At 39.4% G+C, this 15,093-nt stretch overlaps 1 protein-coding gene across 4 annotated transcripts in view, besides 1 other annotated feature; it reads right to left on the minus strand.

Annotated features, from left to right (window-relative positions):
• The window catches only part of CHCHD3 (coiled-coil-helix-coiled-coil-helix domain containing 3), a 297,221-nt gene that overhangs the window by 73,682 nt on the left and 208,446 nt on the right, over positions 1–15,093 (minus strand). The gene's annotated exons all lie outside the window — the stretch shown is intronic.
• Positions 14,775–15,036: a silencer, noted in NCBI's record as "fragment chr7:132558086-132558347 (GRCh37/hg19 assembly coordinates)". NCBI's record gives its function as "represses an EF-1alpha promoter that drives an FKBP-Casp9 reporter gene in an ReSE screen in K562 erythroleukemia cells {active_cell/tissue: K562}" and the evidence as "EXISTENCE:reporter gene assay evidence [ECO:0000049][PMID:32094911]".

Raw genomic sequence — 15,093 nt, forward strand, 5'->3', positions numbered from 1 at the left:
TGAGTTTTAGCCCTCAGTTCAACAAAGCATGAATAGCCTAGTATTGTGCCAGGTACTGGTTATACAAAGAAAAATAAATTTTTAGTCTTCAGCTCTCTGAGAGTTTGTATGTTAGAAAACTAAAGCCTTCCTGATTTAATATTGTTTAGAATATTGCCCATATCCCATCAAATCACTCTGAGGACAAGAAAGGTATAAATGCTAATAATAATATCTTTACAAATCAGTGGCGTATTTTAGCTAAGTGTTAATACAGACATTTTTTCTAAATAGTTCTTAAATCTGATCCCAGGACATGCGCTTTACATAGATTGTCTCATGCAAACCTGACAATAACTCCATCAGGTTGGTACAATTATCCCCATTTTCCAGATGAGAAAACTAAGGCCCTCCAAAATGAAATAATTTACCAGGTCATTTGAGCTTGTCTGTGGCACTGCCAGGGTCAAATCCAAGCAGCCGAGCTCCAGAGGTAATATGCTTAACAGCTACAGTACAGTGATTTGCAAATCACTGTATTAACGTACTGATTTCCAGATCACTGTATTGAATGCCTTATGAAAAGAGATCACCATCTATACAAAACAATTAGAAGGCTTTGTGTAGGAGGTGGCATTTAGCCTCTAATTGAATACTATTACCTTCCCTGAACCTACAATGAGATATTTAAAAGTTATTATATATTAAAAATTCTAATTATATATTTTACTTAGTGTAAGGGGGATGAGATTTAAGCCCATTTTAATTACAAACAAAAGCAGATCCACATGTCAGCTGTCTGTGATGCCTTTGTGGATATCCAGACACTTGTTCTTAAATCTGTATATTACAAACTGAAACAACAACAACAAAACCAGAAGAAAAGTAACACAGGAAAAATTGGCTAACAAGTCAATGAACCTGTGACTTTACTGATACAGCAATTATAAAGGTCAAAGCTTATTTTCACCCTATGTAAATTAAATTTAAATGAACTCCTAAACTATATATTACAAGATCCAGAATTAAATTTAGATTAGCCAGAGACTTTGTTTGTAGAAGACGCTCTTAATAATCTTTGGCTTTTGTCCAGCCCAGATTCCCACTTCCTCTAAAGATGATGGAGAACTGCTTCCCTGGATAAATTAGCACAACTCCTGCCTCCTTCCCCTTCAGTCCCTGTGGAGGAATTCCACTGGACTCTTGTCTTCCCTTAAGAAGTAACCCCCAGTTCAGACCTCAGGGCTGTTCAAGGTCCACTTTTCTCCTTGACCTACACTTGGTCTCTTAGCGAAGCTCTTCCAGTCTCATGGCTTTAAACTCCCCTCATGGGCTGACAACTCCCAGATCTATATACCCAGCCCAGACCTTGCCTCTGATTCCATACTCAATGGTCCAAATGTTTTATTGAAATCAATTGTATCAGAAACACCTAAAATTTAAATTGATTAAAACACAGGGCTCGGCTCGGTGGCTTACGCCTGTAATCCCAGCATTTTGGGAAGTCAGTGAGGCAGATTGCTTGGGCCCGGGAGTTCAAGACCAGCCTAGGTAACATGGCAAAACCATGTCTACACAAAAAAATACAAAAAATTAGCCAGGGGTGATGGCGCGCATCTGTAGTCCCAGCTACTCTGGAGGCTGAGGCAAGAAGATCAATTGAGCCCAGGAGGTTGTGGCGAGCCAAAATTGTGCCACTGCACTCCAGTCTGGGTGATGGAGTGAGACTCGATCTCAAAAATAAACAGATTTTTTTTTATAGATAGATAGATAGAGAGAGAGAGAAAGAGAGAGAGAGAGAGAGAACACAATCCCACATTGTTTTTTGTTTGTTTCAATGAACAAACTTATTCCTCTTGGTCTTCCTAGACTCAGTAACTGGTTCTATCTTTCACACATTTGCTGAAGCCAGAGATACAGGAATCATCTTTCTTTCTTACACCATCTTATATCCAGTCCAGCACATCAGACAATCCCCATGTTCAGGCCTTATTGGCTTCCTTTCTTCTTTAACAGGCATGTAATGGGTTTGGATTTTATTCTAACGGCTATGGAAAAGCATGGACGGTTTTCAGCAAAGAAACGATATAATCTGACTCAAGCTTTTTTTTTTTGAGACAGAGTCTCACTCTGTTGCCCAGGCTGGTGGGCAGTGACGCAATCTCAGCTCATTGCAACCTCCACCTCCTGGGTTCAAGAGATTCTCCTGCCTCGGCCTCCCAAATAGATGCGATTACAGGTGCATGCCACACCTGGCTAATTTTTGTATTTTTAGTAGAGACAAGGTTTCACCATGTTGCCTGGGCTGGTCTCAAACTCCTGACCTCAAGTGATCCACCCGCCTCAGCCTCCCAAAGTGCTGGGAATACAGGCGTGAGCCACCACTCCCGGCCCAGACTCAAGTTCTTAAAAAACCATAGCTCTTGGCTGGAAAATAGACAGTGGTGGAGGGAACAGAAGATGGACTAGACAGACAAGGGAGTGATTACAAGAGTTCAGCTAAGAGAGATGGAGGCTTGGTTTATGGTGGTAATAGACTTAAAAAACAGACAAAATTGAACTATGTTTTGGAAGTAGAATCAACAGAACTTCCTGATGAATTGGAGAGGAAGGAGGGAATGTGAGGAAAAGTGAGAACCAAAAATGTGTCGTAGATTGTGAGCTTCAGCCACTGAGTAGGTAATGGTGCCATTTCCCGAGGAAAACTGGAGGAAGACTGGTGGCTGGAGCACTCAGGACCGCTACCTCTGCTATTCTTTGGAGTGTGAGTGTGTGCTTCCTAAGTGTTTCGTCGTTAGATCACCTCATCTGAAAACCCCTCTCCTATTTTCTCTCACTGTATTCATGTTTCTTTCATCACACTTTTCATGATCTATTTTGGCTCATTTTGTTCTCTGTATTGTATTCCACTCGCTAGACTCTGAGCTCTGTGATGGTGGGAAACAGGTTCTCCTTGTTTGTTGCTTTTTCCTGTGTCCCCAGCCCATGTCTTGGAACATAGTTGGATATGTCCACAATCAATTATCCTCAGGAACTTCTAGGGGAAAAAAGATGTCTAAAGCAGGAGGTGACAAACTTTTGCCATAAAAGGCCAGAGAGTAAATATTTGAAGCTTTATGGGTCACATGGTCTCTGTCAAAGCTACTCAACTCTGTTGTAGTACGAAAGTAGCCACGGACAATACACACATAAATGAGCATGGCTGTCTTCCAATAAAACTATTTATGGACACTAAAATTTGAATTTCATAGAATTGTTGTGTCATAAAATTATTCTTTTGAATTTTTTCCCCAACCATTTAAAAATGTATAAATTATTATCAGTTTGCTGATGCCTGGTCTATCCAAATTTTAAGCCTCAGGTGTCAAGGAATAGAAAGGTAAGAAAATGTTAAACTGGATGATTAGTATAAATTGTATTAAAGAACTTATACTACCATAAAATAATCCCTATATTCCTTCCCACTAACCTACTGTACCTTAAGAAAAAGGAATCATGTCTATGAATCTTGAAATCCAGCACTTAATGTTTGCTGATGGATGGATGGATGGATGGATGGATGGATGGATGGATGGATGAAATGAAGGAAGGAAGGAGGGAAGAAAGAAAGGAGGGAAAGAAGAAACGAATGAAATAAGGCAAGGGAGGGGAGGGAAAGAAGGGAGAGGAACAGAGAGAGAGAGATGGAGAAATGAGGGGAGAGAAAGAGGGAGGAAATACTTTTATTTTACAACCACCATATCACTGGAATAGGAAAACTGAATACAGGCATACTTTGGAGATACTGCAGGTTTGGTTTCACACTATCACAATAAAGTGAGTCATGCAAACTTTTTGGTTTCCCAGTGCGTATAAAAGTCATGTTTATAATACACTGTAGTCTGTTAAGCGTGCAATAGCATTATGTCAAAAAAAGTACATAATCTTAATTTAAAAATACTTTATCACTAAAAAATGCTAACAATCATCTGAGCCTTCAGCAAGTCACACTGGTGGAGGGTCTTATCTCGATATTGATGGCTGCGGTGGTGGCCAAATGGCATGGCTATGACAATTTCTTAAATAAGACAACAATGAAGTTTGCCACATCAATTCATTCTCAGGGGAGAGTTTTCAGTAGCATGTGATGCTGTTTAATAGCATTTACATAGAGTAAAACTTCTTTCAAAATTCAAAATTATCTCAAACTCTGCTGCTGCTTTACCAATTAAGTTCATGTATTATAATATTCTTAGTTCTTTCCTGTCATTTCAGCAATATTCACATCATCTTTACCAACAGTAGACTCTATCTCAAGAAACCACTTTCTTTGCTCATCATCTGTTCAAGTTTGCTCCTCAAACATTAAAAGTTTCATCATGAGATTGCTGCAATTCAGTTCCATCTTTGGGCTCCACTTCTAATTCGAGTTCTGTTGCTATTTCCACCACATCTGCAACTCCTTCCTCCACTGAAGTGTTGAACCCTTTCAAGCCATCCATAATTGGAATTAACTTCTTCCAAACTCCTGTTAACTGATATTTTGACCTCTTCCCATGAATCACGAATGTTCTTAATGGCATCTAGAATGGTAACTCTTGCCCGGAAGGTTTTCAATGTACTTTTCCCAGATCATTCAAGAGAAATCACTATCTATGGCAGATATGGCCTTATAATACGTATTTCTTAAATAGTAAGACTTGAGGGTCAAAATTACTCCTTGATCCACAGGCTGTAGAATGGACATTAGCAGGCATGAAATTATTAATCTCCCTGTACATCTCCATCAGAGCTCTTGGGTGACTAGGTGCACTGTCAATGAGCAGTAATACTTTAAATGGAAAATGTTTTTTGTGAGAGGTAGATCTCAACAGTAGGCTTAAAATATTCAGTAAACCAGGCTGTAAACAGACGTGCTACCATCCAGGCTTTGGTGTTCCATTTATAGCACACGGGCAGAGTTGACTTAGCATAATTCTGCAGGACCCTAGGATTTTTGGAATGGTAAGTGGGCACTGGCTTCAACTTCAAGTCATCAGCTGCATTAGCACCTAACAAGAGTCAGCCTGTCCTTTGGGGCTTTGAAGCCAGGCCCTGACTTCTCCTCTCTAGCTAAGAAAAGTTCTAGACAGAATCTTCTTCCGATAGAAGGCTGTTTCACCTTCATTGAAAATCTGTTGTTCAGTGTAGTCACCTTCATCAATGACAGTAGGCAGATTTTCTGGATACCTTGCTCCAGCTTCCACATCAGCACCTAGTGCTTTATCTTGCATTTTTATGTTATGGAGATGGCTGCTTTCCATAAACCTCATGATCAACCTGTGATAGCTTCCAATGCTTCCTCTGAAGCTTCCTTGCCTCTTTCAGCCTTCGTAGAACTTAAGAAAATTAGGGTCTTACTCTAGATTAGGCTGTGGCTTAAGGGAATGTTGTGGCTGGTCTGATATTCCACCAAACCACGAATCTTTCTCCACAGCAGTAATAAAGCTGTTTCACTTTCTTATCATTGATGTGTTCACTGGAGTAGCACTTTTAATTTCCTTCAAGAACACTTCCTTTGCATTCACAACTTGGCCAATTGTTTGGTGCAAACGGCACAGCTTTTAGCTTACCTAGGCTTTGCACATATCCTTCTCATTAAGCTTAATCATTTCTAGCTTTTGATTTAAAGAAAGATGTGTGACTCTTCCTTTCAATTGAACACTCAGAGGTCATTGTAGGGTTATTAATTGGCCTAATTTTAGTATTGTTGCGTCTCAGGGAATAAGGAGGCCTCTCAGGGGAGGGAAAAGAGATGGGGAAATGGCTGATGGGTGGAGGAGTCAGAACACACACGTAACAGTTATCAATTAAGTTCAGCTTTTTATATGGGTGTGGTCTGTGGTGTCCCAAAACAATTACAATAGTAACATCAAAGATCACATCATAGATCACCATAGCATATATAACAACAAAGAAAAAGTTTGAAATATTATGGGAACTACCAAAATGTGGCACAGAGACACTAAGTGAGCACATGCTTTGGGAAAAATGGCACTAATCAACTTCCTTAATGCAGGGTTGCCACAAACTTTAAATTTGTATTTTTTTAAAAAGGCAAATGAAGTATGTCTGTACTGTGATTTGTCCATCTGGCACCTCTTGGACAAATAAGAGAAATGTACCCCAAGTCTAAAACAAAGATAAAAACTTACATTCTCTGGATACTTGTTGAGGAACCAGAATACCATCCTCTTTCCATGCCGAGATATGTACCAATTTTTTAAAAAAATAAATGGCAATATGATGAACCTGGATTTCCAACTAAAACAGTGATTCAACACATTGCAAAGACCCTAAATAAAATATAAAAACTTCTGAAAACTCTTGTATTATCCTGCATAACATCCTTCCCAGAATAAACACTATTTTCAAATACAATGTCAGCACGATCTCTACTCATTGCAAAGATGAGCTCCAACCATAGACCCCATTCATTAAAACTTCATAGGGTAAAAGAAACCATTAAAATGAATTTCAATTTGTCAGATAAGGAGGATTATGGTACAAAGATGCTTTAAATACCTAATAAAATTATGCCAAACATACTGGAAAGCAGTATTGTGTACCTGGGGGTCTAAACCTGAGAAATAATTATATGGCGTGAGAAAAACAAGTGATGACCCATGCTAAGGATGAGGAGTGAACATATGTCCCAAAGCTCCAGAAGAGTTACTTGAACTTTTTTAGCTGTACCTAACTGCTGCCATCTCGGCAGACTGTCCACAGTAGAGAAACCTTCAGATAACAAAGGCTTTTCCTGTTTTAATCATGGGGAAGAGGTTGGAGGACAGCAGGGGGACTGGAAACCTAAAACCAGGAAGGAGAATTCACCCCAAGGTGGTGGTTGGGGGGAACACCACAAAAACTGGGGACTCAGTGCAAAGATGACAGGTGCAAATAACAGCAATCAGGCCTTCTCTGTTTTAATAGGGGAACAGATTAACAAAAGCAGGAAAGGGACCATGGAGGTGGTGAATACAGATCCATCCGTGGCCGACTGCCATGGTTACTATTTTGAGATCGTCATTACAGCAGTTACTATTGTTACTGCTTGAGACCATCATTACAAGACTGAAGGAAGGGAGGAACCTAGAAATGAAAACTTAAGACAAAAGAAACTGTTTTAAAGGAAGGGGAACCAGGGAAGAAGAAGAGAGCTTCCTGCTTCTAACGAGCAAAGGCAGCCCCCGAGCTTCTACCACTGTTCCTATTTATTGGGTAGCAAGAGCAGGGAGGAGGAGGTAACGATTGGTTAGCTGCTTAATTGATCACAGGTTCAGATTATTGCTAACAGACTTCAGATGTGCCTAATCACAAGAAACACTTGTGCCTGGGTCGTGACTGCCCTCAGCATTCCTTCTGGGTAGCGCAGTTTGTCATTTTGCCAACATCCTGCTTTCATGAGAACAGTTTGCTGTTTACTCATATAGCCTCCAGTGGTATAGTGAGTTGATCACGACCCCTCATTCTTTCGGCCTGTAACAACCATCAACTGCACAACCTTGTGGACAGGAACCATTTCCAATCTATGGACAACGTTAAAGGAGGAACTTTCACCCAATTCATATTAAAACATTTATGTGGCCCATGCACATATTATTTAACTTTGGTAGAACACTGAACCAGAGGGCCCACTCAGCCCCTTTCTGGCTAATGCAATCCCATTCCAAGTACAACCTCTCAAAAAGTCTGTGTTGTGTGGCTTAGAGAGTATGTGAGCTTAGACTGCCAGGGTTCACTTCCTGGTTTTGCCACTTACTATTCCCGCGACCTTGGATAAAGTACATACCCTTACTGTGTCTCACTGTACTTGTCTAAAACATGAGGATAACACTCCTAGAAAGCTGGAAAGGTTTAATTAAGTAACTCAGCATTGCAGTGCTAGCAAACACATTGACATACATACAAGAAAACTTGCAATAAATGTTACTCTTCATTTTGAATAGCTTGGTAGGATTGTTAGTGTTGACTTGGGTTTGGGATAGGCTTGAGGAAAGGTGTGTAAAGTCACAGAGAGAATCATGGATGCATTTTCACTGGATAAGGAATTTTTAAAATACTTCAATACTCACTGACCAGATTCATAAGGCTTATTTACTATTCCTCTAGGAGAAAAAGAATTAGAGTCACTCTTGAAACCAGAGTGTCATTTGAACTCAACATAGAACTGATCTGCTAACAAAGTACAGACCAAAATAAGCACTGTCTGCCAGACTTGGCAAGACAGATACTATACTTGAAAAGCAAACCTGGCACTTTCTGAAAAGATAGTGAAGAATACACTAGAGCAATAAATGACATGGAGCCAATGCAAGAGATTTAGGTAACGAGTGTTCAACAGGATCTGCCAGCAGGCTTCTCCCCCAGGTAGATGAAACACATGGCTCTTTTGGGTCCCTGCTCACGTAGCATCTAATCGGAGGCCTCGCTATCCAAAACAGCATCACGCACACCTACCCACCATACACATACCATCATTTTCTCTCCTCTTATTGAGTCATTTTTCTTCATAGAACCCATCACCACTTGACATAAAATATATTTGTTATTGACTACCTCACATTAATGAATTGTCAGCTCTACAGAACCAGAGGAATTTCTGTCTGCTTTGCTCTCTGCTATATCCCCAGAACCTAAAATGGAGCTTGCCACATAGTAGGTTCTAAATAAATATTTATGAAATGAACAACTACTAGTGCAAAAAATAACACTAAAAAATAAAAAGACATTTGGCAAAAGTCTTAAACTGTTAGAAACAAGGGTATTAAATTACATTAAAATGTTGTTAAAGTCATACCTTTTAAAACCTTAAAGCCTTAAAAGGTATTACTTTTTAAAGCTTTATAAAAGTCCAAAAAATTATTTGAAAGTATTCTAAATTACAGATGAGACTAAGAAATTAGAGAATAGTTATTCTTGAATTCAGCAAAACTTACAGAACTTACAGAGGTAGGTTTTTGAGAAAATATGGTTTAGAATTTTTATTTCAGTTGCTGATTGTTGATTGAAATCAGCAAACCCTTCTCTCTCCTTAAAACGTCCACAGATAAAGAAAGTTACTAATACAATAATAGAAATACATTAAAGTCAATATTCCAGGTTACTTAAAATATGTATCATGCACATACAGAATTTTATTGCTTTTACTAATTTTAGAGTAAATGAATGATGAGAAAGTATAAGGCAGAAAGACTTATACCAATACCCTGTTATGCTATGTGGATAAACTTCAAAAGAAAAAATTTTCTCAAAAGAAAAATGATTTTCTCTGGATAATGAGGGGATCCAGAAAGTACATTATATAAAATAGGCTATGGGAAATGTTTTAACTGCAGAGTGGGTGTTCACAGTGGCAAGTTAGCAGGTATTTTTACCATATTTCGTACCACAGAGAAAATGAGAAAGAAAAACAATTTAAAACAGTTGTTATGCCTTTATCTTTACACTGTAGCATACTCCAATAAAAAAGACGTTCACCCACAATTGACAAGCTAGGTTTAATCCTTATAATGCCCATAATTTTATACTGTAACAACTGCATACTTCAGTCATGAACACAATACACTTTGACTTAAGGGATTAAAAATACAAATAAGATCCACAAATATAAAAAATAATTTAAAAGGCCTAACTAACCAATATTCGTTGCTTTTTGCTTTTTAGGTAGAAGCAGCAAAGCTGACGGGAAGTTGTGGGAGGAACATAAAAATAAATTTAAATTACAAGAGAAAAAAATTATTAGATGTTTATACAGATCTTTTTGAAAAGTTATTGCTTGATGACTTAAAGACTGGAGTTTTTTGTCATTTAATTTTAATGAAATTAAAATTTCAACAAGATTAGGCATTCTCTAAACTCAGAATGCCTTTTGAGTAATTTAGTCAAAAAAATTACATTCTTAAAAAAGGTTAACACAGCCGTCTGTGAAGGTTTTCTGAGCTGGCCAACATATGCTGAGACCTTTAGTTTTATAACGAAAAGGGCTTTGGTGATTTTGCTCTTTGGTGAGTCCTTTTAATAGACTCTTGCATAAGTTGCACAAAATGATGAGATGTGCCAGAATTAAGTCTGACCCAGTACATTTTTCTTTAGAAATGAAAATTTCATTTCTAAAGAAAATTGATATAAACATCCCAATGTCATTTTGCCAAAGCCAAGACCCCAGAATTGTTTTGTGCCTCTGGAATAGAATCCAAATGAAAAGCTTGGTTTTCAAGAAAAGACCTTTTAACCAGGACTATTCACAATTGTGAACACTGTCCCACAAAGCTCAGTGGCTGTCGGAGAGTAACTGCTGTGCGACTTTCCCCAGGGCTCCTTGCTCTTGCCCACCACAGCCTGGTGACCCACCCTCACCCAAGCTTTCATGTTTGCTTCCTCTTGTTGTCCATTTCATCTTAATGGAGAAGATGGAAAATATAACTCAGTCTGTACTTACTCGATGTTAACAACAACAAAAAAAAACTGACCCAAAATGCATCACGAAAAAGCAAATCCTTGTTCTGCACTGATATCCTAAGTCAGACACTTCTGATGGAACATTCAAACACAAAACTAAAAATTCCAGAAGACATGCTCACATTACATTATTAGAGGGCACCTGTATAGCATTTCCTCTGATGCTAAGGTCTCCTACAGTCCCACAGTCCCCACACCCTGGCTACTTCCTTAACACTGCCATCCCCAAATGTCACAACCACAACCTCTAGAACCTGGTTTCTTCTCTGTGTACCTACTTCCTTGGTCTGGAAGAGCTAGACTGCAATATTACAATACCATAGAATTTAATAAACATACCAAAGGATTGAATATGCAGAAGTGAAAGCTCAACCAGCTCTGTTCTTTTTTTAAATTTCCCACTCATTAGCTAGGGTGATTCAACAAAACAGATGCAGATTCAAACCAGCCTCTGCTCAAAAGATGACAGAAAGACCTAAGCTTATGTGCACTAAATTATCAGACTTCTAACTTTGATATACACAATTTGCCAAATTCGAAAGCAAATATATATATAAGATAAATCTGCTGCCCCCACCCTCCATGACTTGCTTTAGAGTCAGGATCTCGCTCTGTTGCCCAGGCTGGAGTGCAGCGACATAATGGCTCACTGCAGCCTTGACCTTCTGGGCTCAGCTGATCCTCCTCCTTCAGTTTCCCGAGTAGCTGGGACCACAGGCACACACCACCATGCTTGGCAATTTTTTTTATTTTTTGTAGAGGCAAGGTCTCACTTTGTTGCCCAAGCTTGTCTCAAACTTCTGGGCTCAGCGAGCCTCCTGCCTCAGCCTCCCAAAGTGCTGGGATTATAGGCATGAGCCACCATACCTGGCAGAGAAATCCCATTTCATCAAATAAAATGATATGCATGAAAGAGTTCTGAAAAACCTGAAAGATTATATAAGCTTAATTGTAGGTTTAATTATTGTATCTATATTATAAAAACAGTTTTATGGTTGAGCCAATAATTCCATTCCTTCTGGCAAAATTCAATATAACATTTCAATATAACAAAATAATGGCCGGGCACAGGGACTCATGCCTGTAATCCCAGCACTTTGGGAGGCCAAAGTGGGCAGATTGCTTGAGCTCACAAGTTTGAGACCAGCTTGGGCAACGTGGCAAAACCCCGTCTCTAAAAAAATACAAAAATTAGCCCGGTGTGATGGCACGTGCATGTAGTCTCAGGTATTCAGGAGGCTGAAGTGGGAGGATTGCTTGAGCCTGGGAGGCAGAGGTTGCGGTGAACAGAGATCACGCCACTGTACTCCAGCCTGGGTGACACTGCGAGACCTATCTCACCAAAAAAAAAAAAAAAAAAAGATAAATACTTCAAATAGAATTCAACCTGTGTTTCCAGATTCAATCCCTCTACTCTATTCTAGGGCTTTCTCCCCGCAACAAGCTACCTCAAACAGCTGTATAATTATCAACCTCCTAGAGACTGGTGCTGATAACTGATATTTATCCTAATTTAGTATGTATAAATTAACACATAATATTTTATTTAATCTCCACATCCCCAAGGAAGTACAATATGAAGGCCACTTTACAGATGAGGGATCTGAGGGTCAAACAGGTTACATGATTTATCTAAGAATAAATAGCCAATAACTAGGAGGTCTAATATATGAATCCATATCCACTTGTCTATATTTGGGAGGGCCACCCCAACACAAATCAATTGCAGGAACCTAAACAGACAAACACCCACTCACTTGCCTAGAACTTATCTGATGAGATAATCATAACTAGGTAAATAGTGCCACCATTCCCTTTCCCAACCACGTAAAAACAATTTTCAAGCCTCTAGGTTTCTGTTTCATTGCTTGAAAAAAGTGTAATTTTATACTAGATGAATGCTAACGTTTCAAGGAGCAGTATACTTTTGTGTATCTATAAAATATTCCATTTCACTGACATATTATCCAGGTTGTTGTATCAATATTAGTTTTAATGATATAGGCTTAAAATATCAGCAGTCTTGTTTTATTGTCTGGCAAGACTTGAAGCACAGAATTTCATCATAATTACAGTGTCCATTTGGCTATTTCTAGAGGAATATTCGTTCAAAACTATCTTTTGCATAATTACTCTTAAATAGCTAGAGTCTAACTGATATTTCCATAAATTTAGTTACTTTATATAACTTGAGCCTCTATTTAGACTAAAATATACTTTTGTCTTTCTGGCATTAATCTTTTGGGAAATAAGTTCAGGGTCAAATCCAAATGATACATAATATAATTTTTTAATGTACCCAACAGCAAAATGGCAGTCTCTGTCTTTAATTACATACTATTGAATTTTAACAAATAGTTCTAGGGACGTCTGCCAAATTTCCACAATTTAGAGTAACTACACCATGAGAGAATAGACAGTTCACAATTTATTATGGGTTATTTTTCTTGAGCTACAGAAGTGCTCGTTGTAGTTCTAGTTACATTTTCATTTTAATGATAATGAGGATAAACAGATAAGCAGACAAATCTTCTCAACACGTGGACTGCTTGCCCAAGGAGACAACCCCTCAGTCAGTGCTACTCCGTTCTCACTTCTATTTCCGCTGCCCACGTCACATCACAGATCGTCCATGAAGGCAAGGTGGAAACTACACTATGATTAAGTTCTAGAAATTCTAATATTAGGAAGTAGCAAGCAAGGAGGAGTGATGAGATGTTACAGGTAAACTGTGTCTGCTTCAGTGACTGTGTGTCACAGGTACCTACCATGCATAATATCTGCACACACAGTAGATGCTCAACATCCCCTCATCATCTACAACTCATCACAAGTATTATAAACAAAATGTGACTATAATCAAGAGAGGTATAAAGCATTATGGATGTATTTGTCAATTATACAAAACAAACAAAAATAAAGTTGGGGAAAAAAAAGTAAAAATAAGGGGATGCCCAACACAGGCAGAGCAATCTGCAGAGAGAACGCAAGCATGGAGATCTCCTAGGAAGGAATGCTGTGGCAGGAGATGGACAAGAATCTGCCATCGAGGAAGGTTAAAAGTACGGCTGGCTTGAGGGTAGTTAATTGAGTGGTACATGTACTGAAGGTCATTAATTACTAAAGTTAATTTTGAGGCAGAGCCTGGGGAAGTTGAAGTTCAAATAGTTCTAGGATAGGAGAAACATCTCTGACCTGAAACGAGAGAGTTGAAACAAGTGCACACTCAGTCTTAGAATGGAAAGTGACAGTAAACTTGTGTGACTAAACCTAAATTTGCAGGAAGTTATGCCCCAGGATTCCACAGGTACAATCCGCATAGCAAGCTAAGCGTGCTGGGCTGCTGTGGACACCATGGTTCAAGGCTACTTAAGAGCTACTAGTTGCCATCTCAGAAAGTGTCATCACCTTTACCTGGGCTGATTTGGCTTCGCTTGTGACTTCAATTTCTGGTTATATTTCCCCACAGTACAGGGCCAGCTTCTTTTCTCTGCATCCCCTCAGAGGAATAAGACCCAGTTCACAGATCCTTTACAATTTCCTTACTTTCAGCACCTTTCCTATCAATTTAGCCTATACGCTATAGCCGTACTAATTAACTGTATCTAATCATGCCCTGTAATAAAGCTGGTTCAACTTCTCTTTAAACAAGATTCACTATTAAATAAAACAATGGGCGCTTAGCTTATGGAAGAAAACCAAGTATGAATGTTGCTGAGGGAAACTCAGTTGAGAATCTGTTACTTGACTCTAGTGGTTCTAAACAAAAAATGTCAGGCCCACCTCCACCAAAAATCTTTTTAAAGAGGGGGAGGGCCGGACTCGGTGGCTTATGCCTGTAATCTCAGCACTTAGGGAGGCCGAGGCAGGTAGATCACTTGAGGTCAGCTCGACATCAGCCGGGCAGACATGGTGAAATCCCATCTCTACAAATTAGCCAGTCATGGTGGTGCACGCTTGTAATCCCAGCTACTCGGGAGGCTGAGGCAGCAGAATCCTGAACTGAGGAGATGGAGGTTGCAGTGAGCCGAGATCGCACCACTGCACTCCAGCCTGGGCGACAGAGAGAGATTCTGTCTCAAAAATTAAATAAATAAATAAAAATGAAGAGGGGGAGGATGAAAAGGGGAGTGGAATCATATGAGACTGAAAGTGAAAATTTAATAGTCCACCACTGGTGACACAGAGGGAGAGGCCATTGGTGAGGAGGAAGACAGAGGCCTGGGTGCACCAGCTAAGAATCCCAGGTCAAGTTACTCAATGTCTTTCAGACTCAACAAATCAACTGGTTGCCTGGCAAAGAAATACCTTCCCCTAATGGTTTGTTCTAGGGATAGAATACAGTATTATGTTAACTAATTTCAAGCACTGCCTAGCTTATAATAATCCCTCAATTCATGGTAAATTTTTTTTTTTTTTTTTTGAGACGGGTCTCGCTGTGTCACCCAGGCTGGAGTGCAGTGGCGCAATCTCGGCTCCCTGCAACCTCTGCCTCCCAGGTTCAAGTGATTCTCCTGCCTCAGCCTCTCGAATAGCTGGGACTACAGGCGGGTGCCAATGGTGGATGTTTTAATGATGACGTTGATGGTACTGACACTGATATTACTATTTCTTTCCCAACAATCTTGGAACAAG

Source organism: Homo sapiens, chromosome 7 (genome assembly GCF_000001405.40).
Source record: "Homo sapiens chromosome 7, GRCh38.p14 Primary Assembly".
Classification (NCBI taxonomy): Eukaryota; Metazoa; Chordata; class Mammalia; order Primates; family Hominidae; genus Homo; species Homo sapiens.